The sequence below is a fragment of the Homo sapiens genome, chromosome 5 (genome assembly GCF_000001405.40).
Source record: "Homo sapiens chromosome 5, GRCh38.p14 Primary Assembly".
NCBI classification, from domain to species: domain Eukaryota; kingdom Metazoa; phylum Chordata; class Mammalia; order Primates; family Hominidae; genus Homo; species Homo sapiens.
The window spans coordinates 110,001,152-110,019,629 of NC_000005.10; positions in this window are offsets into that span (position 1 = coordinate 110,001,152).

Genomic DNA, 18,478 nt, shown 5'->3' on the forward strand with positions numbered 1-18,478 from the left:
CAACCCTATTCCCTTGACTTATGCTAAGAAAAATTCACTTCCTCACGGCCCTGAGCTCCAGTTCAAATATTCCCCCATTAACTGACAAAGAAGAACTACTTCTTATTCATTATAAGATTCCTCTTGACTATACGGGATAATGTAAATTTTTTTATCCCACCATTTTTTCAAAGTATATAGTTCACAAGATTACTTTGATAACTGTGTAACTTCTTTTGTGTCCGGAAACATTGATGTGATCAGGTTCAATCCTGTGTGTGCATCTGTGGATCTGAAGACTGAGAACTCTGTCTCTGTGCAGATGACTTGACTTTACCTAGACAACGTTTTTTACATAATCTGGTCCAATTGTGAGTCCTTTTCTGCTTTCACAATGGCGTACTCTAGGATGCTTCAGACTGCCCTTCGCTGAGACTGTGTTCTGAATAGATAAAGAAAATAGGGCCACATGTTAGCAGTTTTGCTGAATCTAGATGGCTGCTATATTTGTATTTGTTTTACCATTCTTTGAACATTTTGTATCTTTAAAGTTTTTCACAATAAAAAATTTGAAAAAGGCTGTGTACTCTGAGGAGAAATGAAACATCAATGGGGAAAAAAAGAAGAAATGTCAATGGGAAGAACACGGTGGGTGGGAGGGGATGGGACTTCTTTTAGGTTTCAGTCTGTGTCCAAATATTAGATATTGTATAGCTGAAATGTTGATGGGTGATTCAACATTTACTTCTGAAACTGATACTAGAGAGACTTAGTGAAACTCTGCAAATGCTCCAGGGGATGAGAGTGGGGAGTGGGTAAGCTTTTTTCATCAAAACTTTTCCTATGTTTTATCTAACCTGGGGTCCCAGGTAGGGTGCCTGTGGTAACTGTCTTTTGTCAGGAATAGAAATCAGTCATTGAAAAGTTTCCACCAAATAGAGGATGAGTGTCTCTGCTTATTCCAGAGTGAACAGAGGGCATACCATGTGACTCTTCTGTCACCACTTTACTGAATTTGGACAAAATATGACAACATTTCCCTAGGAAAAAAAAGTAACAGAGGAATCCTAAAAAACTTCTGCTTCTTCTCAGATCTCAAAAAGAATGTGAAGAAGGAGAATACATGGTTATTAGGCCCCTTCAAAAGAAACAGAGAAAAGGTGTCATTAAGAGGGCAAAGGACTATAGAAAGGGCATTCTGGGCCCAGGAGACAAATGCTATTTATTTCATAGTTTTGACGTTTCAGGGTAGCAAGAAGTCAGTATTCAATACATGTTTAATACATATTGTAAACGAGGGGTTGGCAAACTATGGTCAGTGAGTCAAACCCAACTTGCTGTCTATTTTTGTATGACCCAGGGACTCAGAATGGCTTCTGCATTTTTAAATGTAAAAAAAAAAAAAATATTTGCATGAGAACAGTTGTTCAAGAGTTGAGGACATTGCATCTTGGCTTGCAACATTTCATATATTTACTATCTGTCCATTTGCAGAAAAAGTGTGCCAACTCCTGTTATAAACTATACTAAATACTACAGGTGCACAATCACTTTTAATCTTCACAGCACCCCTTGGACACAGGCACATTACTTTCCCCAGTTCACAAATGAGGGGATCTTGGCTCAGCTGACTTAAGTAACTCACCCAACACCAGACAACAAGAATATGGCCAAGTTGGGATTGGAACCTGGGTATGTTAGTCAGGGTTCTCCAGAGAAACAGAACTGATAGGATGTTTATAGAGAGAGATTTATTTTAAGGAATTGGCTTGCATAATTATGGAGGCTGTCAAGTCCAAAATCTGCAGGGTGAGCCAGCAGGCAGCACACTTAGGAAGAACTGATGATGTAGTTCTAGTCCATAGGCTGTCTGCCGCAGAACTCCCTGTTGCTCCAGAGAGGTCATCCTTTTTGTTCTATTCAGGCCTTCAACTGATTGATGAAGTATACCCACATTATAGAGGGTAGTCTGCTTTACTCAAAGTCCACCAATTTAAGGGTTAATCTCATCCAAACATACCTTCACAGAAACATGCAGAATAATGTTTGAACAAATATCTGGGCACCACGGCCCAGGCAAGTTGACACATAAAATTAACCGTCACACTGGGTCTAACCGAGCAAGAACATTTGCTTATCTCTATCCTAGACAACTCTCTAATGATCTTTTGTTATTGTCTGTAAGAAAGAATTGTCTTTTAAAACTGGGAATGCCTACCAACTTTCCTCATATGCCCTTAGTGAAGTGAGTTTTAATTTGGCATATCCAGAAAAGTTACTCCTCACAGAATGCACAGATTCTCCTGTGCATCAGGAGATCCAAGTGGGCTAGTCCTTTTCCCTATCCCTAATAACTTTGTGAACACCCTTTGCATGTAGAAAACAAAATACAAATGCAGTTGATCCTTGAGCAACACGAGTTTGAACTGTGAGAGTCCTCCTACATGCAGATTTTTCTCAATAAATGTATTAGAACATGTTTTGGAGATTTGCAATAATCTGAAAAAATTCACAGATGAACTGCAGCCTAGAAATATTGAAAAAAATGAAGGAAAGGTTTAATATGCCATGAATCCATCAAATATATGTAGATACTAGTCTGTTTTATCATTTAGTGCTATAAAATATACAGGAATATATGATAAAATTTTAAAATTTATTAAAACTTAGGTACACAAACAAAGACTATACAGGCATTATTTACAATTGAGAGAAATGTAAACAGATGTAAAGACCTTTACGATGATCCACTTTCACTTAATGAATAGTAAATATATTTTCTGTTTCTTATGATTTTCTTAATAACATTTTCTTTCTGTAGCTTACATAGTTGTAATAACACAGTATATAATACATATAACATAAAAAATACATGCTAATCAACTGTATGTTCTTGGTAATGCTTCTCGTCAACAGCAGGCTATTAGTAGTTAAGTTTTTGGGGAGTCAAAATTTTTACTCAGATTTTTGAATATGTGGGGAGTAGGCACACTTAGCCCCCACAGTGTTCATGGGTCAGCTGTATAGTCTTGGAGCAACACTTAGGAACTTCCAAGAATGTAGAAAGAATTCTGATACTCTTATGCTAGTCTAGTTTCTCTTGATAGAAACTTTTAGAGTGGCATATTAATGTTTTTGTTTAGATTGTGACTAAGTGGCATTCTTGGAGTCCAGCATATTTTAATTTGTAGCCTTAAGTCTGTAATAAAGGTAGATTTCAAATATAAATTAAAGTAAAATATTTATAGGAATCAGTTGGCAATTAATATGTACTAATAACTCTTTTAAAATAAAAATATAATGTATATAAACATGGTATTTGAATATCTCTTACTAAAGAAGACCTTATAGAGCTAATTTACAATAAATAAAATTTTGTTTGTTTTGATCTTTTTGTTTTTTTTTTTAATTAAGTTCTGGGATACATGTGCAGAACGTGCAGGTTTCTTACATAGATATACATGTGCCATGGTAGTTTGCTTCAACCATCAACCCATCATCTACATTAAGTATTTCTCCTAATGCTATCCCTCCCCTTGCCCCCCACCCATGACAGGCCTCAGTGTGTGATGTTCCCCACCTTGTGCCCATATGTTCTCATTGTTCAACTCCCACTTATGGGTGAGAATGTGTGGTGTTTCGTTTTCTGTTCCTGTGTTAGTTTGCTGAGAATGATGGTTTGCAGCTTCATCCATGTCACTGCAAAGGCATTTAGGTTGGTTCCAAGTCTTTGCTATTGTGAATAGTGCTGTAATAAACATATGTGTGCATGTGTCTTTATAGTAAAATGATTTATAATCCTTTGGGTATATACCCAGTAATGAGATTACTAGGTCAAATGGTATTTCTGGTTGTAGATCCTTGAGGAATATCATTCTTTTTTATGGCTGCATAGTATTCAGTCATGTATATGTGCCACATTTTCTCTATCCAGTCTGTTATTGATGGGCATTTGGGTTGGTTCCAAGTCTTTGCTATTATGAATAGTGCTGCAATAAACATACATGCGTCTTTATAATAGAATGATTTATATTCCTTCAGGTATGTACCCAGTAATGGGATTGCTGGGTCAAATGGTATTTCTAGTTCTAGATCCTTGAGGAATCACCACACCATCTCGCACAATGGTTCAACTAATTTACCCTCCCACCAACAGTGTAAAAGCGTTCCTAATTCTCCACATCCTCTGCAGCATTTGTTATTTCCTGACTTTTTAATGATCGCCATTCTAACTGGCATGAGATAGTATCTCATTCTGGTTTTGATCTGCATTTCTCTAATGACCAGTGAGGATGAGCTTTTTTCCTATGTTTGTTGGCTGCATAAATGTCTTCTTTTGAGAAGTATCTTTTCATATCCTTCACCCACTTTTTGATGGGGTTGTTTTTCTTCTTGTAAATTTATTTAAGTTCCTTGTAGATTCTGATGTTAGCCTTTTGTCAGATGGCTAGATTGCAAAAATTTCCTCCCATTCTGTAGGTTGCCTGTCCACTCTGATGATAGTTTCTTTTGCTGTGCAGAAGCTCTAGTTTAATTAGATTCCATTTGTCAATTTTGGCTTTTGTTGCAATTGCTTTTGGTGTTTTAGTCATGAAGTCCTTGCCCATGCCTATGTCCTGAATGGTATTACCTAGGTTTTCTTCTAGGGTTTTTATTGCTTGAGGTCTTACATTTAAGTCTTGAATCCATCTTGAGTTAATTTTTGTATAAGGTGTAAGGACAGGGTCCAGTTTCAGTTTTCTGCATATGCCTAGCCAGTTTTCCCAGCACCATTTATTCAGTAGGGAATCCTTTCCCTCTTGCTTGTTTTTGTCAGGTTTGTCAAAGATCAAACCTTTGATCAAATCACAGCCTGGGCTTCAAGGTCCTACCGATATGTGATGTCATCCCCGGAGGCCCAGCTGTAAAATTCCTCTCTTTGTACTCTTTCTCTTTATTTCTCAGCTGGCCGACACTTACAGAAAATAGAACCTACGTTGAAATATTGGAGGTGGGTTCCACTGATATCTTTGGTATTTGATGTTGGTGACCTTCGGACGGGGTTTTTGAGTGGTCGCCCTTTTTGTTGAGGTTGATGGTATTGCTTTCCGTTTGTTAGTTTTCCTTCTAACATTCAGGCCCCTCTTCTGCAGATCTGCTGCAGTTTGCTGGAGATCCACTCCAGACCTTTTTTGCCTGGGTATCACCAGCAGAGGCTGCAGAAGAGCAAAGATTGCTGCCTGTTCCTTCCTCTGGAAGCTTCATCCCAGAGGGGCACCCGCCAGATGCCAGACAGAGCATTCTTGTATGAGGTGTCTGTTGACCCCTGCTGGAAGGTGTCTCCCCTTCAGGAGGCACAGGGGCCAGGGACCCACTTGAGGAGGCAGTCTGTCCCCTTAGCAGAGCTCTAGCGCTGTGCTGGGAGATCTGCTGCTCTCTTCAGTGCTGGCAGGCAGGAACGTTTAAGTCTGCTGAAGCTATACCCACAGCTGCCCCTTCCCCCAGGTGCTCTGTCCCAGGGAGATGGGAGTTTTATCTATAAGTCCCTGACTGGGGCTGCTGCCTTTCTTTCAAAGCCTGACTACTGTGTCTTTGTTTCACTTTGGTCAAGTAATAAGGCCATCTCAGAACCAAATAAAATCAGGAATTGAATGAGGTGATATTGAAAATGTAAGGCTCTGTGTAATTGTGTTTGGAAAATTTTAGCAGTGGCAATATATCAGTATTTTAATTTGCCTGGTGATGTATCTGTTCACCCATAAGGGGTATCTGGCTTGATTTTGATATGATTTACTACTACTGGTGATCATTTTGATTCAATAGCTTATGTATTTACAGAAATTCAGGAACAGGTGTTTCTGATTCAGCAATGTCTCCAGCATCTAATTTGGTATGCAAGTTAGTAGGTTGTGTATCATATTTATAGGAACTCCATTACATTCATAATGGGGTGAATATTTTCCCTGGGCCAAATCTTAAAGTTTATCAGGGAAATTACTGTGTATTCAGAGCCATGTACAGGAAAGTTTGTAATTCCATATTTAATTTTCTTGTTTTTCTTCTTGTTCTTTCTGAATCATCTTGTTTGAGAAGGAAAGCATTGAATAGCTTTTTTTTTTTTTTTTTTTTTTAAAGAAGGTGGGAGGTAACACTTTAGGTGTCAGTAAGAGATGTGAAGTGAAAATCTTCCTGTTACCTCAGGGGAGGGGCCTGATAGGACAATGGGTAGGGCCCACAGAATGCAGCTGGATGTTGGATAAAGGGCTAGTTCAGTCTCTGGGTGTCTGCAGACCTTTTTCTTGCTGTAGAGCTGTGAATAAGATGCTAAAATATATTGCTGATCCTTTGCCTCAGGGAGCTGAATCAAGGCTTTAACCTGATTTAAGCCCACACCTGAAAATATTTTTATCCTCTTCACTGGAGGCTGGATTTGAACAGCTGACTTCGAGGTGAAGTGTTCTACAGCCCAAACCCAATCCCTAGAGTCAGTCAAGCTGCTTCCTTATACATCTTCTGTTGTGCGGGGTTGGGAGAAGCAATGTTAAGGGTTCCTGAGGAAAAACATAATGTTGGCATCAATGGGGATATTGATGTGTTGTCGTTTGACTAGAGTTCTTTTATTTTAGTAAAATAAAGAGTGAAAATTAGCTTGTATAACACAAACTCAAAAAGGTAGGCCATGATCTGTTAAAAGAGGGGAGAGTTTGATTATATATTTCTGCACGAAAGAAGCAGATGCATCTTTTTGAAGAGGCTTGCCAGCACCACTATTCATAAATGTGTGTGCAACAGATAGTCTAATTGCCTCATTTATAGTAGTAGGACATACTGATTTCCTTTCACATTATTTACCCATCCACTGAGTTTTGGAGTAGACAGGGAGAATGCATTTCAATCCTGAGGGCTGCTTGTTTTAAACATTGCCTCTGTCTCCATGACAAGTGTTTTATTGTCACTTCTGACTAGATTCCTATTTTGGTTGTCAGTTGTCTGTCTTTTCAGGGTTCGTGAGTTTCAGTGAAGGTTCTGTGAATATTTTTTAAACCCTTCAGTTATCATGACTCTTCAAAAATCAGCTAGTGTATTCTGTATTCCTTCATGAGTGAAGAAGATAAACTGGGAACTATTCTGTGGCTTATTCCTGTGCATCATTCTGCAATCATTTACATCTGTGTAGCGTTTTCCTTTCATGCATATGAACCCACAGGATTGTTACAGTCTCTCGGTTAGGTAAGGCTGACTTTCATTCACTCGTTTATTTATTCATGCATATATTTATTGAGCACTGATGTGTCAGGCATTGGGCTCGGTTCCAGGTATAAAAAACATCAGTCCTTGTGTTCTAGAAGCTTCTAGAAGTTCTCTTCTAGTGGGAGATAACAAAATCTAATATAGATGGTCTCTGACTTATGATAGTTTGACTTTAAGATTTTTTGGCTTTATGATGGTGCAAAAGCGATACTCATTCAGCGGAAACTACTTTGAGTACTCATACAACCATTTTGTTTTTCACTTTCAGTATAGTATTCAGTAAATTATAAGAGATATTTAACACTTTTCTCATAAAATAGGCTTTATGTTGGATGATTTTGCCCAACTGTAAGCTAATGTAGGTGTTTTGAGCACATTTAAAGTAAGCTAGGATAAGCTCTGATGTTCAGTACGTTAGGCGGATTAAATGCATTTTGACATGATATTTTCAACTTGCAATGGGTTTATGAGGATGTGATCCCATTATAAGTTGAGGAGCATCTGTACTGTAATGTAAGTGACTCAGTCTGTTTATGCTGCTATAACAAAATACCTTAGACTGTGTCATTTATAAACAATAGAAATTTATTTTCACAGTTCTGGATGCTGGGAAGTCTAAGATCAAGGTGCCAGCAGATTAAGTGTCTGGTGAGGGCTTGCTCTCTGCTTCCAAGGTGGGCCTTAGCTTTGCTACTGGGAGGAACAGGAAGAGAGGGAAGACCTTGTCTCTACATGGCAGAAGACAAGGAAGAGACAAGCAAGCTCTTTCAATCATATATACATATATATATATATGTATACACACACACACACGTATATATATACTTATATATACACGTATATATACACGTATATATATATATACACACACTTTAAGTTCTGGGATACATATGCAGAACATACAGGTTTGTTACATAGGCATACAAGTGCCGTGGTGGTTTGCTGCACCCATCAACCCATCATTTACATTAGGTATTTCTCCTAATGCTATCCCTCCCCTAGCCACCCACCCCACCCCAACAGGCCCCAGTGTGTGATGTTCTCCTCCCTGGGTCCATGTGTTCTCATTGTTCAACTCCAACTTATGAGTGAGAACATGCAGTGTTTGGTTTTATGTTCAATCCTTTTTATAAGGACACTAATTCCATTCAGGAGGACAGAGCCCTCAGGACCTAATCACCTCCCAAAGGCCCCACTTCTTAGTACTATCACATTGGAGATTAAGTTCTAGCACAGGAATTCTGGGAGGGCACCAACACTCAGAACAAAGCAGTAAGTATGTTGAAAGTGTAGACAGAGAAGCAGGGAAGGTTTATTAAAGTCAGTATGAGGAATAGAAAAAGGTTTCACCAAGAAGCAAGAATTTAGGGTAAAATGTGAAAAGGAAAATGTTTTCCAGGTTGAGTAAGTGAGGATATCAAAGTAGGGGAAGAGGAGTACTGTTGCCGTTGCTTTATAGATAAAGAAACCAAAGTTAACAAGGCCACAAAGCTGCCACATGTAAATGCAAGTGCTTGAACTGAGATATGTTCATGCTGTTTTTGTTACACCCGGCTATACCAATCAGCAACTCATTAGATTGATTTTTCAAATTTTCTTTAATATATTCTATAAGAGCAAGAGTAGTGTATTCATTCCTTCATCTTAAGTATGAAAAGGCATTGAAGTCTTAGGGAGTGAAAATCCAGTTTGCATTTGTGTTTTTTATTTTGCATATTATTTTTCTGAAGTATAAATAAAATATTATAAAGTATTAGCCTTACAAATTGAAGATACCTATGATCAAGAAATAGAACACAAACTCCTTCACAGCCTCCCTCATGCATAGTAATTATAGCTCCTACAAATTAACTACTATTCTAATATCTTCTATCTCAATAAATTAGTTTAACATGTTTTTAGAGTTTTATAAAAATGGAATCATATGTATCTCTTGTGTTGGGCTTCTTTTTCTCAAAATTATTCACCCAAGTCACAGCATGTAGCAGTAGTCTGATGTTCATCATTGTTCTATAATATTCCATTGTAGGAATATACCACAACTTATATATTCTATTATCTATAAAGCTTTAGGTTGTTTCCACTATGGGTCTATGATGAATCACTGTTGTAAGACAATTTGTGCAGGTCTTTGGTGCACATATATGCACATGCTTTTGGGTATACCTCTAGAAGTAGAATTTAGAGTTTATAGAATATGCAAATATTCAGCTTTAGTGATTACTGCCACATGGTTTTCAATTCAGTCCAATTACTCAGTGTCTATTATTATAAATAGTATTTTCTTTGTGTCTTGTTTAATCAATCTTTGCTTGTTCCAAGGTCATGAATATATTCTCCTATATATTCTTCTAGAATTATTTTTGTTTTATCTTTCAAATAGAGGTCTATAATCTATCTGAAATGAATTTTTGTATATGATATATAGTGGGGTGAAAATGCACTTTTTCCCCCCATATGGATGCTCAATTGACCTGGTGCTGTTTATTGAAAAGGTCATCCTTTCCCTATTGTAGTGGAGCTTTTATCAAATTTCAGGAGACCAGGTAAATATGAGTATAATTATGAATTTTCTACTCTGTTTCATTGGTTTCTAATTGTCTATTCAGATGACAAAACAATGCTCCTTTAACTACTGAAACTTTATTATGTCTTAATATCTGGTGCTATAAAACCTCTTATTTTGTTATCTTCTTCAAGATAGTTTTTCTTATTCTTGGCCCTTGCCATTTCCACAGAAAAGCTGGAATTTTATTTGGAATTGTACTGAGTCAGAAAAAGGAAACTTTAGAATAATAAATACTCCAGTCCATAAATGAGATATATCCCTCCATGTATTTAGCTATTCTTAAATTACTCTTTCTGTGTCTTTTGTTTTTTTGTGTAGAGGTTTTATATATCTTTAATTTATTCCTAGACATTTGAAGATTTTTTTATGCTATTGTAAAATCTCTGATTAAAAAATTACTTCCTAATTATATGCACTATTGTATACATATATTTTATTGATTTAAATACTGAGTTTATATCCAGAAACATTGTTAGATTTATTTATTAATTTGTTAATTGTAGTTTAGGAATTTTTCAGTGCTCATAATTATATCATCTGTGAATAAGAACAGTTGATTTCTTTTCTTACTTTCCAAGATATTTTATTTGTATTTATGTATTTTATTTATTTGTATTTTCTATTGTACTACTTAGGACCTCCAGTATAATTTAAAGAGTCAGTAATAACTGATATCCTTGTTTTGTTCTTGAGCTTAGGCAAAGTGAAACCTTTTAATATGTCACCATTAAACTCCTATTAAATTCCTATTAAACATGACATTTGCTATAGAAGTTTTCCATAGCCTGTAATCAGATTAAAGATATGCTATTCTATTTCTAGTTTGCTAAAAGTAGCATACCTACAAGGTAGATAAATGACCCCTCCTCCTTTTAGGAGGAGCAGATAAAAGTTGGCAAGAATTTCTGGAAATGTTATTTCAATATAGCTCCCACCTGGACAGTGGCACATGGGAAAACAGTGAATTTCTCTACAAAAAAGTAGAAGAAAAGATGAGAGGGATGGACAGAGGGATTTCTGCTCTTTCTTTTTCTTTCCTGAGTTACCTTTCTCCTACCATCAACTTTTTTCTCGATTTCCACTGTAGATTGCAGCTCACTTGTACCCTTGATATATTGAATAGAGAAGCATTCTTGTAGCCATTTGATAGTCTGTTTTAGTTAAGAAACCACTTTTAATTGGCGGTGTGTGTGATTGGTGACCAGCTCAGCCAATGCTGTTTCATGAGCCACTGTGGCAGATGCCTGTTGACCTCACATCCAAGGGAACAAGGTAAGCTCTGATGCTTCACAGCTCCCCTCTGGAACATTCTGCCCCAACCCCTCACATTTTCAAGTAACAGCTGTGCTGTTGGAGTCTCAGTGATTAACAACTTATCAAACCATTTCCCTGGAACTCTCCAGAACTGCCTCTCATGGGGCACCTGATGGATTTCTACTTCACAGATGGCTTATCAGTTCATCAAGTTATTACTTGCTCTTCTGTCTCCATTTCTCCTGTGTATATTTTATGGGAAAAAAAATCTCCAGGTCATATGATAGGTGTTTCATCTTTGTTAACACAGCACTTGGTAATGAATCTTTATAATATTAGCTGCGTGCTGAACTAGCCCTATCCCTGGATTCATTTTGAGACTCTATAACTCCACATTTGCTTTTTTAGGAAAGCTCAAGATTATTTATTTTCTTGGTGGAAATCCTTGACATATTTCTGCCTAGAGGAAGAGCAAAATCAATATGTCCTACAGTTTTATTAAGTTTCTTTAAGAACAAGATATCTGATCTGTTGGCTGGAGTTGGTTAATCACCATCCTTACAAATTCATCTTTGAATGGTGACTTTCCCACATGTTTTTCAGTTGTCATTAGTAGTGGAATGCTATCTCATTTCTTACCCCTATTTAGAGAATAATTGTTGCTCCTAGCCACATATCAATATCTTTTGGTATAGCCCCAAAGCAGCCAAAGTTAAAGACTATTTTCTTATTCATTCTTTTGTCTTTTTAGCCTGCCACATACTATGGTTCAATTTTTCTTCTGTTTCTTCCTACGGGTCTAACTGTGTCAATCTTATCTATCTGCCACTCAGCCCATACCAGTTTGCAATGAAAGTCAAGTAAGATTTCATGGCATGTATCCAATGTCACCATAGTGAAAACCATGTATACAAGTTTTGGGACAAACTGAAACATGCTGCCTCAAATTTCAGTGATCTACTGGGGAAAATCATTCAGCAGTTTGGACAAACCCTTCCACATTAGGCAGACTCTCAGTGCTGCCTGGAATCATTCTCCATGCAGCTAGTCAGCTGCTTCTCTTTTTTATCTCAATAGCTATTCTCAACTTTGACTAACACTCTTCAAATCCCTTCCTCTGCCATATCCTCTCTTACTCTCAGCATATGATCATGCCTTCAAATTCACCAGAAAACAAACAAACAAAAATAATAAATTCCTCATGCCTACAACCTCAAACCACTTACAAAATGTATTTCCATCAGGACCAAGGATTTCACAGTCTTTTCTGTTTTACATAAAAGATTGTCCCTCTTGCTGCCAAAGTCTAATCCATCCATCCAACTACCTGCATTGGAGTTTGTCTCCTGACTTTACAGAGACCTTGGACCATTAGCCATCCATTTTCCTTTCTCTATGTTTTGTTTGATCCCTTCTACATACAAACATGTTTTTAGAAAAATCTCCTCTGATGCCCCATCGCCCTTTAGCTACTGTTCTGTATCTCTTTCTCTTTGCAGCCAAACTTCTTGAGAAGACTTGTCTATACTTATACTATCTTCCTTCCTCATTTGCCATTTACTGCTCAACTGGTAATACTTTGCCTTCTGTCCCGCAAAAAGCAATGAAATTATTTCCAACAATTACCTGTATATTACTAAATAGAGTGGATATATATTTTTTTCTTTAATTGTTTAACACTGATAACAATTTCCTCCTTTTTAAAACTGCTCTTTTGACTTTCACAAAGGTTTTCTTAGCTGGACTTTCTGCTCTGTCTCTGGACACTTCTCTCAGTATCTCTCACTGGCTCCTTTTCTTGTGATCTCTTTAAAATGAGGGTTCTCCAGACACTTCTCAAAAGACGGCATTTATGCAGCCAACAGACACATGAAAAAATGCTCATCATCACTGGTCATCAGAGAAATGCAAATCAAAACCACAATGAGATACCATCTCACACCAGTTAGAATGGTGATCATTAAAAAGTCAGGAAACAACAGGTGCTGGAGAGGATGTGGAGAAAGAGCAACACTTTTACACTGTTGGTGGGACTGTAAACTAGTTCAACCATTGTGGAAGACCATGTGGCGATTCCTCAGGGATCTAGGACTGGAAATACCATTTGACCCAGCCATCCCATCACTGGTTGTATACCCAAAGGATTATAAATCATGCTTCTATAAAGACACATGCACACGTATGTTTATTGTGGCACTATTCACAATAGCAAAGACTTGGAACCAACCCAAATGTCCATCAGTGATAGACTGGATTAAGAAAATGTGGCACATATATACCATGGAATACTATGCAGCCATAAAAAAGGATGAGTTCATGTCCTTTGTAGGGACATGGATGAAGCTGGAAACCATCATTCTCAGCAAACTATCGCAAGGACAGAAAACCAAACACTTCATGTTCTCACTCATAGGTGGGAACTGAACAATGAGAACACTTGGACACAGGGTGGGGAACATCACACACCAGGGCCTATCCTGGGGTCGGGGGAGTGGGGAAGGATAGCATTAGGAGTTATACCTAATGTAAATGACAAATTAATGGGTGCAGCACACCAACACGGCACATGTATACCAATGTAACAAACCTGCACATTGTGCACATGTACCCTAGAACTTGAAGTATAAAAAAAAACAAAAAACAACTAGGACAGCCAAAAAGAAAAAAAAAAAAAGGAAGAAATAGTGCTAAGAAAACTGGCTAGCCACATGGGGAAGAAGGAAATATTGGACTCCTACTTCTTACCATGTACAAACATTAACTCAAGATGAATTAAAGACTTAAACGTAAGACCTGAAACTATAAAAAAATCCTAGAAGACAACCAAGAAATACTCTTCTAGACACTGGCCTAGGCAAAAAATTTATGATGAAGATCCCCAAAGCAAATGCCACAAAATAAAAAATAAACGAACAGGACTTAATTAAATTAAAGAGTTTCTGCACAGCAAAAGAAACTGTGAACAGAGTAAACACAACCTACAGAATGGGATAAAATATTTGCAAACTATGGATCCAACAACAGATTAATATCCAGAGTCTATGAGGAACTTAACAAGAGAAAAACAAAAGTCCCATTAAAAAATGGCCAAAGGACATAGACACTTCTCAGAAGAAGACATACAGCAGCCAAAAACATATAAAAAATGTTCAACATCACTAATCATGAGAAAGATGCAAATCGTAACCACAATGAGATACCACCAGTCAGAATGGCTATTATTAAAAAATTTAAACATAACAGGCCAGGCACAGTGGCTCACACCTGTAATCCTAGCACTTTGGGAGGCCGAGGTGGGTGGATCATGGGGTCAGGAGTTCGAGACCAGCCTGGCCAATATGGTGAAACCCCGTTTCTACTAAAAATATAAAAATTAGCCAGGTATGGTGGCATGTGCCTGTAGTCCCAGCTACTCAGGAGGCTGAGGCAAAAGAATTGCTTGAAGCCAGGAGGCGGAGGCTGCAGTGAACCGATACGGTGCCACTGCACTCCAGTCTGGGTGACAGAGTGAGACTCCGTCTCTAAATAAATAAATAAAGGAAAAATACCAGATATTGGTGAGGTTGAGAAGAAAAGATAATCCTTATAAACTGTGGCAGTAATGCAAATTATTAATAGTTCAGCCCCTGTGGAAAACAGTTTGGAGATTTCTCAAAGAACTAAAAATAGAATTGCTATTCAACCCAACAATTCCATTACTAGGTATATACCCAAAGGAAAATAGATCGTTTTACCAAAAAGATACCTGCACTCACATGTTTATCACAACACTATTCAAAATAGCAAAGACATGGAATCAACCCAGGTGGCCATCAATGGTGGACTGGATAAAGAAAATGTGGTACATATACACCATAGAATGCTATGTAGTCATTAAAAAGAATGAAATCATGTCCTTTGCAGCAACATGGATGCAGCTGGATGCCACTATGTTAAGTGGACTAACATAGAAAAAAAGCCAAATAAGGCAGGTTCTTACTTGTAAGTGGGAGCTAAACACTGGGTACACATGGACACAAAGATAGGAACAACAGACATTGTGGACTCCGAAAGTGGGGAAGGAGGGAAAGGAACAAGGGCTGAAAAACTACCTGTCAGGTAATGTGCTCAATACTTGGGCAATGTGATCATTAGAACCCAAACCTCAGCATCACTGAATATATCCACATAATAAATCTGCACATGTACCCCCAAATCTAAAATTTTAAAAATGTAATGGCTTCCACATATTTAAAAAAATATATATAAAATAAAATGAGGGTTCTCCTAGTTTCTTCCCAAGGGTGGGTATATTTTTCTACACTGGCTTCTACAATCACTTATATTTGCATGACTATTAACTCTACAAATACAGCTCATTCCTTTCTGAGAATTTCACACTTGTATTCACTTGGCGATCTCTTAGTCACCAGAACTCAACATGTCCTAAACTGGTCTCATTACGCTTGGCCCTATGCAGACTGCTTTGGTATTTATGTTAACGCATAGCACACTGGGGCCCAGAAGGTGTTATTATCCCTAATTTTTCCGTTTTAGTCAGTATATCTTTATATCATTTTATCTCATAAACAGAGCATAAATCTCTTCATTCTCATTGCCTTATTTCACCTAATAGCATGTACAACTTTCTACTTAGTATTTTTATCCTTCAATTTGACCTCACCAAACCGAATGCATTCACGGTTACTGAAATGATTCTTCTAAAATGTGAACTCATGTTAATTTTCAAAAAATGGATCAATTGATTTGATGCAAGTGTAATAAAAATTATGACTGTTTTTAAATGAATTTGACAAGGTGACTCTGAAGTAGGTACAGAATAGCAAAGCGCTCAGAACAACCAAAGTATTTACAAAGAAGAAGAATAGGGTCACTGGCTGCTATGACAGCATACCCGAGAGTGGGTAATTTATAAAGGAAAGAAGTTTATTTATCTCTTACTTATGCAGGCTGGGAAGTTCAAGAGGCATGGCCCCAGCATCTTCTTGGCAAGCAGGAACTGATACATTTCCGAGACAGCTAATCTAGTCTTGAGAGTGAGAACTCATTACTGCTAGAAGACACGAGGTCATTTATGAGGGATCCACCCCTATGACCAGAACGCTTCCCATTAGGCTCCACCTCCCAACACTGCCACACTGGGGATGAACATGAGTTGATTTCAACATGAGTTTTGGCGGGGACAAATCATATCCAAACCATAACATGTGCCCTAAGTAGACTTACCTTACTGATTCCAAGATTTATTTAAAGCCATAACTAAAGCTCTGTATGGCCCCAGGCACAGTCAAAGCAACCAATGATACATAATAGAAAACCCAGGGATAGACCCGTTCACAAATGAAATTATGATCTTTGACAGAAGTGGTCTATTTTTTAGGTGCAGTGAAGAAACCAGAAATCACTCAGTATTTTAAGTAGGACGGATTTAAAACAGGAAGATATGCACAAATTATTGAAGGTCTGGAAAGGCAAAGATGTGGTAAAAAGAAGGTGCCATTAGCTGTATGATCCACTGACACAGCCATCCAAAGAGGCTACTCAGAGGTCAGCAAACTGTAGGACACGCCTGGTGAAGTCACAGCATCCCCAAACTGCAGCTCCAAGACTGTGACTACCATACCTGTAAAATCTCACACCTACCGAGGTCTGTATTTCCTCTGCAATTATTGCTGGGAGTGAATTGTTTCTGCCTCCCTACTATCTTCCAAATTTGCGTAAGTGCATTTCTTTGACAGCACTGTATCTTAAACCTTACCGGCAAAGAAGTTTGGAAAATTCAGCCCCTGGGTTTCTAGCTCTTGTGATACAAAGGAGACCAAGAAGGGGAAATCAATGTGTCCCAAAGGCCACAGAAAACATGTGGCACAGGGGTGTTAAAGATCAATAAAGAAAGGAAGAATTGTTAAATAAACAGTGCTGGGACAACTGGGCATTCATTCAAAAAACTGAAATTGAATTCCTGTCTTATGCTATACCCTAGAGTCAACTTAAACAGATAAGGACTTTTGCTAAAAGGAAAACTTCAGGAAGAAAATATAGAAAAATATTGTTCTAGTTTTGGAATAAGGAAGATTTTATTAAAACAAGGTAACAGGAGAGGGGCCAAGATGGCTGACTAGAAGCAGCTGGTATGCCCTGCTGTCATGGAGAGAAGGAAAAGTGGGGAGTTAACACTAGCTCTTCAACTGGATCATCCAGGTGGTCACATTGGGATTCATCAAGGAAGCAACATGACCCACGGAGAATGGAGAAGAGTGAAACAGGAAAACTGCCCACTTGGGAGTGGCATGGGGTCAAGGGAGGCCTCCTAAGGCAGGGAAATGGTGAGTGAGTGAGAGTCCCCGGGCACCCACATTTCTGCCATGGACCTTTGCAATCCTGGGCTCAGGAGATCACCTGTGCTATCTCTCACCCCCTCCCCCGTCCACCACTGGGGCCTCCAGTCTGACACACAAAGCTACACAGAGTCTGGGCAGAGCTGCTGCAGAGGCACACACAGAGTCCCAGGGGGCTTGGATCCCCAGGCACCCCAGGACCAGCAGCTACAGCTCTGGCAATGGGGGAGGCCGGACTCCCTCGCACACACCCAGGATAGGGGCCAAATCTATGGGGCTGAGCTGTGGAAGGATGGCAGGCTTTGTCTTCACTGTACCTCACTGAACAAGGCCCATTGGCCTGGGACCCTAGCGTGGCCACCACAATACCATCTGGGCTCTCTGGCCAGCATCATCTCTGCACTTCCCTGGGATGTAGCTCCTAGAGGTAGCAGGTACACCACCATTTTTGCTGCTCTGGATTCATCATATGGAGAGGAGCTCAGCGTCTCTTCCCTGTCAGTCCATACCACCCAACTTTTCACTGGCTTGGGACCACAGAGCAGCTGCCCCACCCCTGGCTGAGCACACCCACTGGTAGTGGCTCTGGGTTTCCCAGAGGTGGAGCTCCCAGGGACAAGTGACGGCCCCTCTGCCACTGCCACTGCAGCAGTTCTGCCCTTGCTGCCCTTGGACTGGGGAAAGAACACAGAGCCTGAAGGCTTCATTTGCCCTTCCAGTATGCCACAGTCACCACAGTCACCACCTCCCAGTCAGACTGGGAGGAGCCCAGTCTCTCTTCCCTGTGAGCCCATGATCCTCCACTATTCAGCAAGCAAAGTCCCTGGCTTGGGCCAGCAGCACAGCTGCCCCACCCCCTCCACTGAACATTTCCAGTAGTAGCGCTGTGTTCCTGTGCGGTGGAGCTCCTAGAGGCAACTGAAAGCCCCTCCGCCGCTGCCAGTTCAGTGGTACCTCCCTTGTAGCCATCGGACTAGGGAAAGAACAAAGACCTTGAGCACTTTATCCACACTTCCAGAAAGCTACAGATGCCATAAGGAAAAGAGGTCAGTGGGTCTTCCCTGTGATCCCCGACCCCGCCTGCTTGTCAAAAGGTAGGGCCCCCTAG